Raw genomic sequence first — 17387 nt, 5'->3', positions numbered from 1 at the left:
CTAAGAATATATATTTTCGAGAGTTAAAAGCAACTCCAGTATTGAAGGCTGTGAAAGATATACTTGACCTTGAGGCCAATGTCCTGAAAAAATGCAAATAGGAGCTGTTAGTCTTCTAATTTCTCCAAAGAGCTATGGGTAATTTAAAGGTCTTTGTGAAGTCTGTATTTTCAACGTACATCAAATCCATGCTTTGCAAGGCCTTCTTGAATGGGACTGTGATGTAATTTGGGGAGTGTCTGTATAATTATAATCCCTTCCTTCAAGGAGTTCATATTTGGCCATAAAGAACAATGCTCAGCCAGGAGCGGTGGCTCATGCCTGTAATCTCAGCACTTTGGGAGGCCAAGGTGGGTGGATCACTTAAGGCCTGGCCAACGTTGTGAAACCCTGTCTCTATTAAAAATAGAAAAACTAGCTGGGTATGGTGGCACGTGCCTGTTGTCCCAGCTACTCGGGAGGCTGAGGTACAAGAATTACTTGAACTCAGAAGGCGGAGGTTGCAGTGAGCCAAGGTTGTGGCACTGCACTCTAACCTGGGTGACAGAGTGAGGCTCTGTCTCAAAAAAACAAAACAAAACAAAAAAGTGAGGACCTCAGATGAGGAGTGCCAAGTGCCGGGCATAGAGGGGTTGATCCCTGTTCACCAGGCTCTAAGACCGTCTTTCAGCCTCGCAGTCTAAGAATTAGGGGAAACCCCCACAATTTAAAAAAATGTGTTTAGAAAATAATTTCCTCATTTCTACGAGATTGGAATTGTTATTCCCATTTTCCAGCTGAGAAAATCGAGGCCATGAGAGGTAAGTGATTGCCCTAAGATCATGAAGCTAGTGTCCAATGAAGCTGGAATTGAACTTGGTGGTGTGAATTCAAAAATCCATGTACTTAATCTCTCTGTCCTACTTGTAGCTCTATCTCTGTCCATATCCATTTCTTGTTTGGGAAGACTTAGAGGGTGTTCTCATTTTAGAGGATTTAGATTGTGACAAAAAAGTAAACTACTCTTGGGTTTTATACACGTGGAGTGGACATACCCGGCCAATCAATTATTTTGGTTGGTTTACTACACATACATTTAAGAGCTCTTTTTAGTTATTGCCTATTGAAGATGCCATGCATTTGTTAATTTAAGCCTACTATTAAGCCAGTCAGATTATATAGGACTGTATTAGTCTGTTCTCACACTTCTAATAAAGACATACCCAAGATTGGGTATTTTATGAAGGAAAGAGGTTTAATTGACTCACAGTTCCACATGGCTGGGGAGGCCTCACAATCATGGCAGAAGGAGAAGGAGGAGCAAAGTCACATCTCACATGGCAGCAGGCAGGAGAGCATGTGCATCCCCTTTATAAAACCATCAGATCTGCGAGACTTATTCACTATCAGGAGAACAACACAGGAAAGACTCACCCCCATGATTCAATTACTTCCCACTGGGTCTCTCCCACAACACATGGGAATTATGGGAGCTACAATTCAAGATGAGATTTGGGTGGGGACACAGCCAAACCATATCAAGGATTATTTACAAGAACCCTAGAAGATTCAAAGGGCTGTTTACAAGAACCCTGGGCATTTTCCAGAACCTTGAAACCACATCTTGGGAGCACTTACGTGCCATAAGTATTGTGTAAAACTTGATATTACACATTAAAAATCTGTGGAATGAATAAATGAAAACATAAAATACTGAGCGTGTGAATGTTTAGAAATTAAAGTCCTATAGGGAAACTTAGTGTTTCTTCTTGTTTTAACTCTTACATGCAGGTCAGAATAGAGGTAGGCAGGGAGGAAAGAGTGAGGGAAGAAAAACAAAACATTTTGCACCCAGTGCATATTTAATAACATTTTACTGAAATACAATGAGGAATTAAAAAGGAGGATTTATTTTATCGAGCCAGCTAACAATTACCGAGGTCTTACTATGTGTTAAGTTTATACACCATACATAGCATGTAAGTCTGCTGGTTCTCGTATCTGGCTGGACATTGGAATTTCCTGGGAAGTTTTTAAATTATTGATGCCTGGAGTCTACTCCCAGAGATTCTTATTTAATTGGTCTGGTGTGTAACATGGGCAAATGGGTTTTTTTAAAGCTCCCCAGGTGATGTGTAATGAATATTGAGAATTTGTGTGTTACTCCTTTTGTTCAGGGGTCGGCAAACTTTTTCTATAAAAGGCCAGATGATAAATATTTTAGCCTTTGTTGGCCATATGGTCTCTGTCACAAATACTCAATTCTGCTATTATAGCACTAAAGCAGCCACAGACAATATGTGAGTGAGGATAGCTGTGTTCCAATAAAACTTTATTTATGAACACTGAAATTTGAATTTCATAAAATTTTCACATCACAAAAGAGTATTGTTATTTTGATTTTCTTTTCCCAAACATTTAAAAATATAAAAGCCATTCATAGGTCGAGGGCCACACAAAAACAGCAGTTGGCTAGATTTGGCCAGAGTTTGTAGATAGAAGCCTACTTTAATTCATGTAACTCCACGATGGTAGGTGCAATCTTATTCTCTTTTTCATAGTTGATGGGAGTGAGACAAGATCAAATGTCGCTTGGTGATTCATTCGGGATTTGGCCATAATGCTGTTTCTTTTTTAGAAAGTACCAACATTTCTCCAAATGTTACCTTTTTGGTTATTTTTGAAGTTAATTATGAGGATAATTGATGTGGGGGAAGCTCTCCTTTCAACCCCTATCCTTTTAAATATAAACTCCCAATGACTTCAAGTTAGAATAATGTATTGTTTAATTAAAAAAAAAGTTTTGAACTCTTGTTCAGCCCTCTGCTTCCCACATTGCTGGGTAGATCTGGCCTTTAATATGTTCATTGAGGAATTTATTCAATTTAATTGAAGTTACAGTTTTTCCTTGTTCTTCTTGTACCTCCAAATCAAGCAAATAGTGTTAAAATATTATGGTCAATTATACATATAAATCTTGCAGAGCTAATGAACATATTCTCTAGATTGTGAAGCAGACTGGACACTTATCTTACTCTTTAAGATAAAATACCACATCTGTATAATGCATTGCTAAGCTTTCTTCTCACTACACACTTTGCCTAGAATCCCATTTTCCATTAAATAATAATCACTGTAATTAATAGACTGGTTATTTTATCTCCCTAATCTGGTTACAGTAATTTATCAAAGGCATGTAAATGAATGCTAGAAAACTAGTGCATCCTTCTTTTTAAAAGAAGGTAAAGAATATAAAATGTAATAGTTATCTAGGGAATATAATAAGCTAGGTACTACTTGTAATTCACTGAAAGAAAAAAATAGAATATTCACTGTTGCCTTAAGGGTTTTTGATAAGGTTTAAATTACCCTTGTTTCAGGGAGTGACTACAGATAGGTTGATGGGTAACCAGTATGTATTCTTCAAATCTTCACAAGTGCCCTGAGATGGATCAGCAGATCTCTTCCTAGCTCTGCATCTCGCATTCCTCGGTGCTGGCCAGCTGAAACGCGCAATGCCCCCCAGGGATGCTAAGGACCATTCAGAGCTTGGTTGTTCTTAAGAAGGGTTTTAAAAACACTCTAGACTGGGTGTGATGGCTCACGCCCATAATCTCAACACCTTGGAAAGCCAAGGTGAGAGGATTCCCTAAGGCCAGGAGTTCGAGACCAGCCTGGGTAACATAGCAAGACCCCCATCTCTACAAAAATAAAAATAAATAATAAATGAAAACACTTTACCTCTCCCTAAAGCCCAAGGGAAGAATTATTATTACCTATGCCACTCCAGTCCTCAGACATGAACTTTATTTAGGCAAGAAAAGGAAGGAGAATAAAAGGGACCAGACAGAAAGGTGACCGGGCTCTTGTACAAGTTCTGCTGCTCATTTTCAACTGGGCCCATCTGTCTGACCCTTACCACCATGGCATTCTCATTCTTTGTACTCATACCTGTTCTGCGTAATCTGTGCACTCTTCTAAGACTTGGATATGATATATCACGCTGTATTAAAATAATACTGGTGAGACAGGGTAGGGGGATGGTTTTAAAGTAATGAGCTTTAAAAATGAGCTTTGGAGCCAGCAGGCCTGGATTCAAGTTCCAATTACACTCCCCCTAGCTGATAACCTTGGGCATGTTACTACAATAGGGGTTAGAAGAGGCTTATAGTGAGAATTAAATCTGAAAATGCACTGAAAGCTTCAGAATAGTAACTGGACTCAGAATGTGCCCTTAAAAAATGGAATTTATCTCCATCTTGTTCTCCTCTTCTTTCCCTTTTTTTTTTTTTAATAATATGCCCTAAGGATTAAGGTGGGACAAGGAACTTCCCATTTTTCTCTGCAGCCACCCACTCCTTTGGGATTTTTATTTGGAAAGAGGACAAAGAGCAAAAAGAGAAGCCCAAAAGAGAAACAGAATGTGAGCATGACATTCCTAATGCCTTTGGTGGCTTCTCATTGTTCTCAGGATAAAGACAAAATTTTTTGCCCCTGCTTTCATGACCCTGTGTGGCCTGGCCCTGCCAACCTTTTCTGTGCTATGTTTTTTGATTGCTACCCAACAAATTACCACAAACTTTGCAGCTTAAAACAACACCCATTTATTAGCTTCACAGTAGGTCAGAAGTGCAGGCGTGGCATGGCTGGCTGCTCTGTTTAGGGTATCACAAAGCTGAATCAAGGAACTGACCAGCCTGAATTCTCATCTGTAGGCTCTGAGAAAAGAATCCACTTTAATTACAGATTGAATTATGCCCCCACCTCAAATTCATATGTTGAAGTCATAACCCCGAAGACCTCAGAATGTGACCTTATTTGGAGATATGGTCTTTGTAGAGGCCATCAAGTTAAAATGAGTTCATCAAATGAGCTCCAATCCAACATGACTGGTCCTTACAAAACGGGCAAATTATGACACAAATTCCTAAATGCTTAGAGGGTAGATGATGTGAAGAGACAGATTATGATGAGATGATATAGACTATCTGCAAGCCAAGGAGAAAGTCCTGGAAAAGACACTTCCCTCTTTTAAGGGCAAAAAGTCCTGCCAACCATTCAATCTCAGACTTCTAGCTTTCAAAACAATGAGAATAAATTTCAGTTGTTTAAGCCATCCAGTCTGTGGTGCCTTGGTACGGCAGCCTTAAGAAATGGATACACAAAGTCATTCTTCTATTCAGAATGCAGTTTCTTGCATTCTTGCACTTGTAGGGCTGAAAACTCCCATTTCCTTGCTGGCTGCCAACTGGGGTCTCTCTCGGCTGTGAGAGGTGGCCCATATTTCTTGCCAGGCGGTTCCTTCCATCTTTAAGCCAGAAACCATTTGAATCTTCTTGTCCTCAGAATCTTTGACTTCCTCAGCCTCTGACTTCTAGACTCAGATTTAAAGGCTTTTGGGATGATGTCAGAACTACCTGGATAGTCTTTCCTTCTAAATGCTCACTGTGTCATATCATATATGACCTAACCTCGGGAGTAAAATCCGTCATATTCACAGTCCCAGAAACTGGGGACCTAGGGGGATATTATAATTCTTTTTTTTTTTTTTTTTTTTTTTGAGACAGAACTTTGCACTGTCACCCTGGCTGTAGTGCAGTGGCGCAGTCTCAGCTCACTGCAAACTCTGCCTCCCGAGGTTCAAGCAATTCTCCTGCCTCAGCCTCCTGAGTAGCTGGGATTATAGGTGAGTGCCACCACACCCGGCTAATTTATGTATTTTTAGTAGAGACAGTGTTTTGCCATGTTAGCCAGGCTGATCTCCAACTCCTGGCCTCAAGCAATCCCCCCACCTCAGCCTCCCAAAGTGCTGGGATTACAGGCATGAGCCACGGAGCCTGGCAGGATCTTAGAATTTTGCCTACCACCAGGGCATTTCAAATTCTGGGGTTCTTCATGCTTCCTCCTAGCACAGCACTTGGTGTTTGCTGTTCCCTTTCTAGGGACACTCTTCATCCCTCCCCACACCTCCCTTGATCAACTTCTATTCCTACTCCAGATCATGGTATGTTCATATATTTGCCCAGATATACAATGCTGTCCTCTAGAGAACTAATCACAGTTATCACTTTAGAGTTTACATTTTTTGATTGCTATTTGGTTCATTTCTATCACATCCATCCACACTGTAAAGCCTTGAGAGCAAGGATGGTGTCTGATCATGAACACCACTGTATCTTCTCCCTGCACAGTGCCTCACACTCAACACATATCTATTGAATAGATGAATCATAAGCACACTCCCCACCTTATTCTTTCAGTCTCCTGCACATGTTGAAACAATCAGGTACCAAGGTGGGATAGGTAGGAGATTCTATTTTCAGAGCCGAGTAGAAGCTCCCTGAGTAAGAATTTGATATGGATCAAATGACTTGACTCCCCATATTAATTTGCAAGTTGCTACCTGAACATATTTGCTTTAATTCTTAGGCTCAAGGTGCTGAAATTATAACATCATTACTTAAATAGGCTGCCATTATTGCTCCTGACAACTTACGCCACTTCCAGTGGCTTTGCAGGAATGGGATAAAGGGCAGACATTTTAAGGACAGATATTTTCAATGAAAGCAGAGACAAGGAAGAATGTGTCCCAGAAGCCTGTCTGGAAGGGACACCATACTGTGGGTTTGAGGTAGCCAAGAAGGCACCTAGATGACATCGGTGTCAGATAGAAAGAGACAGTGCTTCCTTCTAGGACTCTGCTGCTTTCCAGCTCTGTTGAAGCACCAGCTGCACTGGTTTGTTGAAATTCAGTAATGGGTTAAACCGTGATGAGACAACAGCTTGTGCTGCTTTGCCTTCCTCTCCACCGTGGCTGCTTGGTGGAGACACAGAGAGTGGGGGCAATGAAGGTGATGGAGGAAAATGTCTCTCTTCTCTGAAGCATCGAAACAGCTCCCTTAATGGCCTCTTACGTCTGGGTCCCAAGGTTTTCATTCAAAATGATAATAAAAGGACACCTCAAACCTACAGGGAAAACCCATTCACATAGAGCAGCTTCGAGACGAGCCTCTGGAGTCACCAAGCTGAAAAGAACCTGATTAATGACAGCACCTGAGATAAGTGGCACTTTCACCAACCTTAACTGTTGATGTATGATGACATAATGTCCCCTCCAATTAATGACAAGGATATAAAACACCTGTATTTAGCAGAGCAGATGCTGCTTTTATGGTTAGATGCGCAGATGAAATTGACTTCTAAAGGACCATCTATAACTTACTTCCCTATTATTTGTTTCTACATTTGTTTCGTTATGTATGTTGTAGGTGCAGGAGGAAATTTAACCCTGGATTTCACACCTGCACAGCCAAAAGGTATATGCTTATTGTAATTTACTTAAAGACAACTTACATCCCACCATCAAGCAGGTTGGCGATGGTGATCTCCTTCATTTACTGAGGACCTTTCATACTGTGTGAACCTCACTTTATATATATATGATATATATGATATATACGTAATATATATAAAGGTAAGCAATACCTTTAATCAGTCAGTTGATCCATCCATCCATCAACCAAAGTATACTGAAACCACCTGTTTAAATCCTCTGTAAGGTAAGCACAGTGTAAGTAGTTTTAAAAATTAAAACGGTTATTGCATACTAAACATATGCAATGTGATGGATTAGGTGTTTTGGGGTTGTCAAGGATTTCTTTATGGAATTATAATTGATGAAAGGGAACAAGACATATAAACATGGTGGTAAATGCTAAATCTTAGGGAGAGCCACAGATAGTGGGCATCCGAAGAGCTCAGGGAAAGGAGAGAGCCACATGGGCTGAGGTTGGTGGGGAAAGTGCACAGAATAGTTGGGATAGAAGAAGAGACCATGTAAATAGCTATCAAAGGAAGAGAGGCCAGATCAGGTGGGAGATTATACTTTTGAAGCAAAGGCAAAGGGAATACACAGGTCAAGGCAGAGTCTGGAGCCAATGAGAAAACCACTGTGTACAAAGTGTACATAGGACAAATAATAGATCAAAGAGAGAGATTGGGTCAGGATTATTAACAGCATTGAAGACCGATTTCATTTCCTTTAAATGTTGATTTGGGAATCATCCCTAAGGATAGGGTAAAATATGGGGAATCTCATATTCCCCAGTGAGGCTTCCACTACCACTGTGCTGAGTTAGGTCCTAGCATGCTTGGGTGTGGACTCTTATGGCTCCCTCTGGGGTTTCTGAGGCCAGAAAGGACACTAGTGTCAGGGCTACTGCCCAGGGGATGAGGCCCAGAAGCATCCTTTCTTCTGTGTCTTCCCCCACTCTTCCCCCTGCCCCCCTCCACCCCCACCCCAGGTCTTGGGCAGCTTTCTCCTCTCTCCCTTGCTGTGGCAGGTGGCCTTCACCAGTTCTGCTTTCACTTTTGGGGCAAACGTTCTGTCTCTTTCACTTTCTTTTGTGCCTTGCTGGCAGGTGTAGCCATTCTAACATGGCAGGGTGGTCTCTGAGTCGGAGGCAGGCCACACAGGCAACTGGGGCTGACAATCTGAGGTCAAACTTCTCTTAATGAATTTGGAGATAGAATGTAAATCCCTTAAGAGCAGGCCTCTGTTTTTTTCATCGCTATATCCCTAGCACCTGTGCCTGGTGCATAGTGTATTTAATACACATTTGTGGAATAAAAAAAGAAAGTGTCATTTAGCATTGCTTTCTTTTTCCCACATATATTTTCTTTAGGGACCTGGACAGTTGGTTGGGGGCAACATTGGCTGTTTGGGGCCCCCATGCCCCAGACTTCTCTGTTTCTACCTGTGAATACCTGTTAATAGTTATTGGCACTCAATTTTAATACCCCCAACAGTAGCCACTAACATTTGGCAACTAGCTTTTCCTTTGCTTTTCGTAGAGAAGCTATTTTTGGTGTCAGCAGAGCCCCCAAGGATAGTTTAAATTTCCTATGCCCAGCTACCTTAAGATTCCAGTCTGAGGAGAGAATCAGTAGAGGCCACGTGGGGACCCATTCTCATTTCAGCTTCGTGAAGAGAAAAGGTGCCTTTCCTGCTTTTCAAGATTATTTTCTCCATTTCACACCCACCTCTCTAACTTGACCAGACTCATATTTTATCCATGATCCATTCTCTCTCTGTCTGGTGTTTTCTACCTCTCACTATCAACAGATTACTTCTTTGGAAACTATAGACATGTTTTTCTTATCTTTAAAAAAATCTGTCTTCCTCTTTGTGTTCCAGTTGTTGCCATTGTCCCTTTCCGCTTTCCTTTATAGTCTAGTTTCTTGGGACACACACACACACACACACACACACACACACGCATTTATAGCCTTGACTTCCTCACTCTCATCTCATGGCTTCCTAATGCCTTCCTAGGTGACCAGCTTGGGACTGGCCTTACACTTTCTGGTATCCCACATTGCATTAGAGACCCTTTGTGCTGTCATAGGTCCCAGCTCTTTGTGCTGGTTCATCTTGTGCAGCTATTGAATGGGATTCTAGGAATCATTATCATGTCTATCACCTATTTGTCTATTAAAATGATATTGAAAGAATTGGGCCCATGAGAAGTTTTCTTGTTGCCCTAATAGTTGTATTTTCACAGAAAGCTTCTTCTTTTAGGAAAAGGGCAAACCATGGCTCCATGCTGTCTTATGTAATCTTAGCAGGAGTTTAAGGCTTGGGAATGTTCTGAGGGGATGAATAGGTAATAGAGGATTCTCTATGCCCCACTGGTTATCCAAGAATTATAGACTAGAATCGCACTCTACACAACTCGAAGGAACCTCAGAGACCATCTAGTTACATGAGGAAATTAAGGCCTGGAGGCTGGGATGTGGGCAGAGAAAGTGTAGTGTGGTAATCAAGACTATGTCTTTTGAACCTGAATTCCTGGGTTTAAATCCCATCTCTGCTATTGAAGGGCCAGTTGCTTTGCCTCTGTATGTTCAAGTTTCCTCATCTGTAAAATAGAGCAATAATAGCAGCTATTCCATGGGGCTGTTGCGCAGATTAAGCAGTTAATACTTGCAAGGCTCTTGGAATAGTGCCTGGCAAATAATAAACATGTATGTAAGTGCTACTTCCTAGTATTAGTTAAACAATCATTTGTTGACAACCCACTGCATGCCAGAAACTGTACTGGGTGCTGGGATAAGAAAATGATGAAGTCACATAAATGATGTGTGTAAGTTCCTGAGGGAGAAGAGTCAGGACACACAGTGGGGTGTGGGATCTCCTCACTGCTGCCGTTAACTTCCACATAATCTTGACAAGGTGGTCATGTGTTCTGTTGTTCCAAGTGTTAGAATGAGGAGAACTCATCCAGGTGTCCATGAGCAAGCATTGTCTGCAGACATTTCTGTTTGCACATTTAGGAAAAGAGGAGATGCCCAGCACTTTGTGAGGCCGAGGTGGGCAGATCATGAGGTCAGGAGTTCAAGACCAGCCAGGCCAACATGGTGAAACCCCCCCTCTACTAAAAATACAAAAGTAAGCTGGGCAAGGTGGTGCATGCCTGTAATCCCAGCTACTTGGGAGGCTGAGGCAGGAGAATTGCTTGAACTGGGACCCGGGAGGTGGAGGTTGCAGTGAGCCGAGATCATGCCACTGTGCTCCAGCCTGGGCTACACAGCGGGACTCTGTCTCAAAAAAAAAAAAAAAAAAAAGAGATAAATTAAGATGCCATTCAGTAGAACACTTCTAAAAGAAATGGAATGTACATGGCTTGGCCAATGGAAATAATGACGTTTTTGCCTGAAGCCATAAGTTTGTTTGTCCTTTTTCTTTGTCATGGGTATGTTTAGTCTTCAAACTGGCTTTTAAGGATGAGTTTATTATTTCTAAGAGAAGAGCAGTATTTTCTTGACCAAACAGAGGTGGCACTTCCATGAGCCAAGCCTTTAGTTCAGTTTAGTTGGAAGTGAGTTACTCAGCTTTTGATCTGTTGTATTTGTTTGAGTATTTATTTTATGTACTGATTTATTTTTAATGGCAGAGATATATGGAAGTTGTCTCCTAAGCAGAAAATAAACAAATGCCCACTCAGAGATTTGTGCTCATAACAGAATTTTTGGTCTGTGAATTGGGTCCTGAGAGATTAAAGACAGCTGGTGCATACCGCAGCCGCCACGAAGCACTGTGTTTCTGGGGAAGTGTGTTGAATGAAATCTAAACAATGCTAACTGGTCACAGACACTAATTAAGAAGTATGCCAGTAGCTGTGGGCTGCTCAAATAAAACACTATCTTTTCTTCACTCTGTTGACATAGAGATACAAATAAGGTTCCAGAAAGATTGGAAAGGAGAGAGTGTGGGGACTGTAATCTTGTCTTTCCGGTATGTTTGCCAAAATCAGATAACACTGAGAAGGAACTGGTTCAAAAACACCAAAACGCATTGTTAAATGAGGGCTGCATTGTGTTTTCCTTAAGAAAAAAAAAGTCATAGAGCTCAAATCTTTCAAATTCTCACTTCTTTACCATCATAATTTTGTATTAATTAGAAAGAAAATAGTTTTACCAAGAGTTATTTGCCATGGCTTATGTATAGTTTTACAGGTGATTTATTGTGAAAAAGAAACACTTTAAAGAAATCTGTGATAAGATAAATCTCTGCAGATTATTTCATAAAGTGGTGAAATGAATTTAAGAACAATTCTGGGTTGTTTTTTTTTTTCTTTTTTTGAGACAGAGTTTTGTTCTTGTTGCCCATGCTGGAGTGCAATGGCGTGACCCTGGCTCACCACAACCTCTGCCTCTCGGGTTCAAGCGATTCTTCTGCCTCAGGCTCCTGAGTAGCTGGGATAACAGGCATGCGCCACCACGCCCAGCTAATTTTGTACTTTTAGTAGAGACAGGGTTTCTCCATGTTGGTCAGGCTGGTCTCGAACTCCCAACCTCAGGTGATCCACCCACCTCAGCCTCCCAAAGTGCTAGGATTACAGGCGTGAGCCACCGCGACTGGCCGAACAATTCTGTTTTAAAGATGTTACCCATTAGTAAAACATTGTAGGAAAATTCATTTCAGGAAGCCTAAGGTGTCCTTGAAGGCTGAGAGTTTCTCCCTGGACACTTGGGTAGGGAGATTTGTGTCAATTTGTCTAACTCTAAGAGTTAAGAGTGCTGTTTCGTCACATGGATACATTGCATAATGGCAAAGTCTGGACTTTTAATGTAACCATCACCTGAATAATGTACATTGTGCCCATGAAGTAATTTCTCATCCTTCACTCCCCTCCCATCCTCCTACCCTGCTGAGTCTCCAGTGTCTATTATTCCACACTGTATGTCCATGTGTACATATTATTTAGCACCCACTTATAAGTGAAAACATGCGGTATTTGATTTTCTGTTTCGAAGTTGTTTCACTTAAGATATTGGCCTCCAGTTCCATCCATGCTGCTGCAAAAGACATGATTTCATTCTTTTTTATGGTTTACAGTCAGACGTTGAATGAGACATGAGAACATGGGAGAGTCTGGGGACCTGGGAGCAGAGCAACCATGGTGGAATAGAGGCAAAGGAAATGAACAAGCTCTTCAATTTTCTGTGTCGCTCCTTGCTGTGTACCCTGGACCCTAAGGTAGATGCAAGCTACTTTAAATTAAATGGATGAGAAATGGAGCTGATACATACCTTTGTTCCTAATAGCCCTTATTCCTATGGTGAAAGAGGAGCTTGCTTTGTGGTGATAGTTAGAAAGGCAGTGTCTACCCAGGCCACTGCCTACTCACCTCCTCAAACAGCAGAGTTTTTCTTTGTCAAGGTCTTTACGACTTTTAAATCTTCTCTTTTGGAGTGAAATAACAGTCATGATTTCAATTAATACTGTTTGAGAGCTTCCAGTTTTTCTGCTCTGTTTTTTCCCCATCTTTGTGGTTTTATCTACTTTTGGTCTTTGATGACGGTAATATAAAGATGGGTTTTTGGTGTGGATGTCCTTTCTGTTTGCTAGTTTTCCTTTTAACAGACAGGACCCTCAGCTGCAGGTCTGTTGGAGTTTGCTAGAGGTCCACTCCAGACCCTGTTTGCCTGGGTATCAGCAGCGGTGTCTGCAGAACTGCAGATTTTCATGAGCCGTGAATGCTGCTGTCTGATCGTTCCTCTGGAACTTTTGTCTCAGAGGAGTACCCGGCCATGTGAGGTGTCAGTCTGCCCCTACTGGGGGGTGCCTCCCAGTTAGGCTGCTCAGGGGTCAGGGGTTCGGGACCCACTTGAGGAGGCAGTCTGCCCGTTCTCAGATCTCCAGCTGTGTGCTGGGAGAACCACTGCTCTCTTCAAAGCTGTCAGACAGGGACATTTAAGTCTGCAGAGGTTACTGCTGTCTTTTTGCAGAAAAGGCCTTTGACAAAATTCAACAACCCTTCATGCTAAAAACTCTCAATAAATTAGGTATTGATGGGACGTATCTAAAAATAATAAGAGCTATCTATGACAGACCCACAGCCAATATCATACTGAATGGGCAAAAACTGGAAGCATTCCCTTTGAAAATGGCACAAGACAGGGATGCCCTCTCTCACCACTCCTATTCAACATAGTGTTGGAAGTTCTGGCCAGGGCAATTAGGCAGGAGAAGGAAATAAAGGGTATTCAATTAGGAAAAGAGGAAGTCAAATTGTCCCTGTTTGCAGATGACATGATTTTATATCTAGAAAACCCCATCGTCTCAGCCCAAAATCTCCTTAAGCTGATAAGCAACTTCAGCAAAGTCTCAGGATACAAAATCAATGTACAAAAATCACAAGCATTCTTATACACCAATAACAGACAAACAGACAGCCAAATCATGAGTGAACTCCCATTCACAATTGCTTCAAAGAGAATAAAATACTTAGGAATCCAGCTTACAAGGGACGTGAAGGACCTCTTCAAGGGGAACTACAAACCACTGCTCAAGGAAATAAAAGAGGATACAAACAAACGGAAGAACATTCCATGCTCATGGGTAGGAAGAATCAATATCATGAAAATGGCCATACTGCCCAAGGTAATTTACAGATTCAATGCCATCCCCATCAAGCTACCAATGCCTTTCTTCACAGAATTGGAAAAAACTACTTTAAAGTTCATATGGAACCAAAAAAGAGCCCTCATTGTCAAGTCAATCCTAAACCAAAAGAACAAAGCTGGAGGCATCACGCTACCTGACTTCAAACTATACTACAAGGCCACAGCAACCAAAACAGCATGGTACTGGTACCAAAACAGATATAGATCAATGGAACAGAATAGAGCCCTCAGAAATAACGCCGCATATCTACAACTATCTGATCTTTGACAAACCTGAGAAAAACAAGAAATGGGGAAAGGATTCACTATTTAATAAATGGTGCTGGGAAAACTGGCTAGTCATATGTGGAAAGCTGAAACTGGATCCCTTCCTGACACCTTATACAAAAATTAATTCAAGATGGATTAAAGACTTAAACGTTAGACCTAAAACCATAAAAACCCTAGAAGAAAACCTAGGCATTACCATTCAGGACATAGGCATGGGCAAGGACTTCATGTCTAAAACACCAAAAGCAATGGCAACAAAAGCCAAAATTGACAAATGCAATCTACTTAAACTAAAGAGCTTCTGCACAGCAAAAGAAACTACCATCAGAGTGAACAGGCAACCTACAAAATGGGAGAAGATTTTTGCAACCTACTCATCTGACAAAGGGCTAATATCCAGAATCTACAATGAACTCAAACAAATTTACAAGAAAAAGACAAACAACCCCATCAAAAAGTGGGCAAAGGATATGAACAGACACTTCTCAAAAGAAGACATTTATGCAGCCAAAAGACACATGAAAAAATGCTCATCATCACTGGCCATCAGAGAAATGCAAATCAAAACCACAATGAGATACCATCTCACACCAGTTAGAATGGCAATCATTAAAAAGTCAGGAAAAAACAGGTGCTGGAGAGGATGTGGAGAAATAGGAACACTTTTACATTGTTGGTGGGACTGTAAACTAGTTCAACCATTGTGGAAGTCAGTGTGGCGATACCTCAGGGATCTAGAACTAGAAATACCATTTGACCCAGCCATCTCATTACTGGGTATATACCCAAATGACTATAAATCATGCTGCTATAAAGACACATGCACACGTATGTTTATTGTGGCACTATTCCCAATAGCAAAGACTTGGAACCAAGCCAAATGTCCAACAATGATAGACTGGATTAAGAAAATGTGGCACATATACACCATGGAATACTATGCAGCCATAAAAAATGATGAGTTCATGTCCTTTGTAGGGACATGGATGAAATTGGAAATCATCATTCTCAGTAAACTATCACAAGGACAAAAAACCAAATACCACATGTTCTCACTCATAGATGGGAATTGAACAATGAGAACACATGGACACAGGAAGGGGAACATCACACTCTGGGGACTGTTGTGGGGTGCGGGGAGGGGGGAGGGATAGCATTAGGAGATATACCTAATGCTAAATGATGAGTTAATGGGTGCAGCACACCAGCATGGCACATGTATACATAAGTAACTAACCTGCACATTGTGCACATGTACCCTAAAACTTAAAGTAAAATAATAATAAAAAAATAAAAAAAAGAATGAATTTTTTTTAAAAAAAGAATAATTTCTGGGGCCAAGTGTGGTGGCTCATGCCTATAATCCTAGAACTTTGGGAGCCGAGTGTGGGAATCATTTGAGGCTGGGAGTTTGAGACTAACCTGGGCAACATAGCAAGATCCTGTTTCTCCAAAAAAATTTTAGAAGTTAACCAGATGTAGTGGCATGCAACTGTACTCCCAACTACTTGGGAGGTTGAGGAGGGAGGATATCTTCGAGGCTGAAGTAAGCTATGAAGGCCCCACTGCACCCCATCCCAGGGGGCTGGAGTGAGACCCTGTCTTAAAAAAAAAATTTCTAAGAAATGGTATATTCAGAGGTATTTCAACATATTTAATAACAGTATATCATGGGCACTGCCCAACAACTGGTGTGTCTGTCCTGGGTCTACCAGCTGCACATGAGCCTGGGTATATTACTGAAAAATAGGCAGTGCCATATGATGGAAATAAAGATGTAATCCTTGAACATTGTTACACCACAATGAAAATGTAACAATACCCAGTAAAGCTATATTATTTTCATTATTAAATTTGTTCAACACTAAAAAATAAAAATTAATACTGTTTGAGGATTTACAGTGGGCCAGGCACCAAAAGCTTTACTTGTATTACTTTATTTAATCCTCACGACAACTCCAAGAGATTATTCCCATTTTATAGTTGAAGAAACTGAGATAGTAACAGGTTCAATCAGTCATCCAAGACCAAAGAGCAGATAAATGGTGAAAGCAGGATCCAAATTGTATGTCCTTGAAGAAGACCAAAGTGGCAGCCTTCTAGAGAGTTCTGAGAAACCCATAAAACAGCATGGCAGGAATAGAGAGGCTAGGCCAGCCTGAGAGCTTGCCTTGAAGGTCAGAGAAGGATAGAGCTTAGGTAGGTGTGGGTGAGGTGAAGCTTAATTCTGCCCCTATCTAGGAACACTCAGCAACCAGATGTAATGTTCATGTTTATTACGTGTATTTAATGGTAGTTTGTGTTAGTTAAGCATGATTCATCCTGTACAGTATTTAAGATCACCCAAGGAGGCTGAGGAAGGTATGCACAGATGTTGAGAGGCAGGAGTAGTAACAGAAAAGTACCCTATTTGGTATAAACCTAGCTACATCACTTAGAGTTCAGGAAGATGGTGTTTGCAACTGACAGAAGATCCAAGTAGCAAAAGTTTAAGCACGATAGAAATTTACTTTCCTTTTACGTATTAAAAAAGTTTGGAAGCCCAAGCCTGGCAGAGCAGCTTCATGAAGTTCTCTGGATGCAGGTTCCTTCTCTCTTGCTGCTCCACACATCTCAGGGTGTAGTTTCCATCATACGGCACAAGATAGCTACCTGGACTGCAGCCATCATATGCACAATCCATTCTACAGGAAGAAGGAGTACATGGGAGTCATGTGGTACATCTACTTATGTGTCATTGGCCAGAGCTTAATCTTTGACTATGTTATACCACTATTATGATGAAAAAATCCCACTGAAAGTGTTACTATGAAAGGATAGCAACATGTAATAAACTATCTTCTCCAAGTACCACTTTGATTTTCATTAGACCTCTTGGATTCATAGCACCTTCACTCCAGAATTTTATTTTTATGCAGACACCATACAAATAGGTGAAAGAACTATTTCAGGTAGATGAAACTTTGGGGAATTTTCTGTAACATTAAAGCACACAAGACAGAGATCCTGGCTTGAACTTTTGGACCAAATCTCTATTTGCTCACTCCTAAAAAAAAAATGGCTAAATATAGGTAAGATGGTGGTTTTTGAATAATTGCAAGATGAATTGCTTTATTCCAGTCTTGGGGTTTATGATTGGAAAAAAGCACACATGTAGAGAAAAATAC

At 41.0% G+C, this 17387-nt stretch overlaps 2 annotated features.

Moving 5' to 3' along the window:
- Positions 8140-8189: a silencer, noted in NCBI's record as "silent region_9475". NCBI's record gives its function as "represses an Ori minimal core promoter by ATAC-STARR-seq in GM12878 lymphoblastoid cells {active_cell/tissue: GM12878}" and the evidence as "EXISTENCE:reporter gene assay evidence [ECO:0000049][PMID:35858748]".
- Positions 8320-8459: an enhancer, noted in NCBI's record as "active region_13361". NCBI's record gives its function as "activates an Ori minimal core promoter by ATAC-STARR-seq in GM12878 lymphoblastoid cells {active_cell/tissue: GM12878}" and the evidence as "EXISTENCE:reporter gene assay evidence [ECO:0000049][PMID:35858748]".

The sequence above is a fragment of the Homo sapiens genome, chromosome 18, assembly GCF_000001405.40.
Source record: "Homo sapiens chromosome 18, GRCh38.p14 Primary Assembly".
Classification (NCBI taxonomy): Eukaryota; Metazoa; Chordata; class Mammalia; order Primates; family Hominidae; genus Homo; species Homo sapiens.
This window is presented reverse-complemented; position numbering and strand designations above follow the sequence as displayed.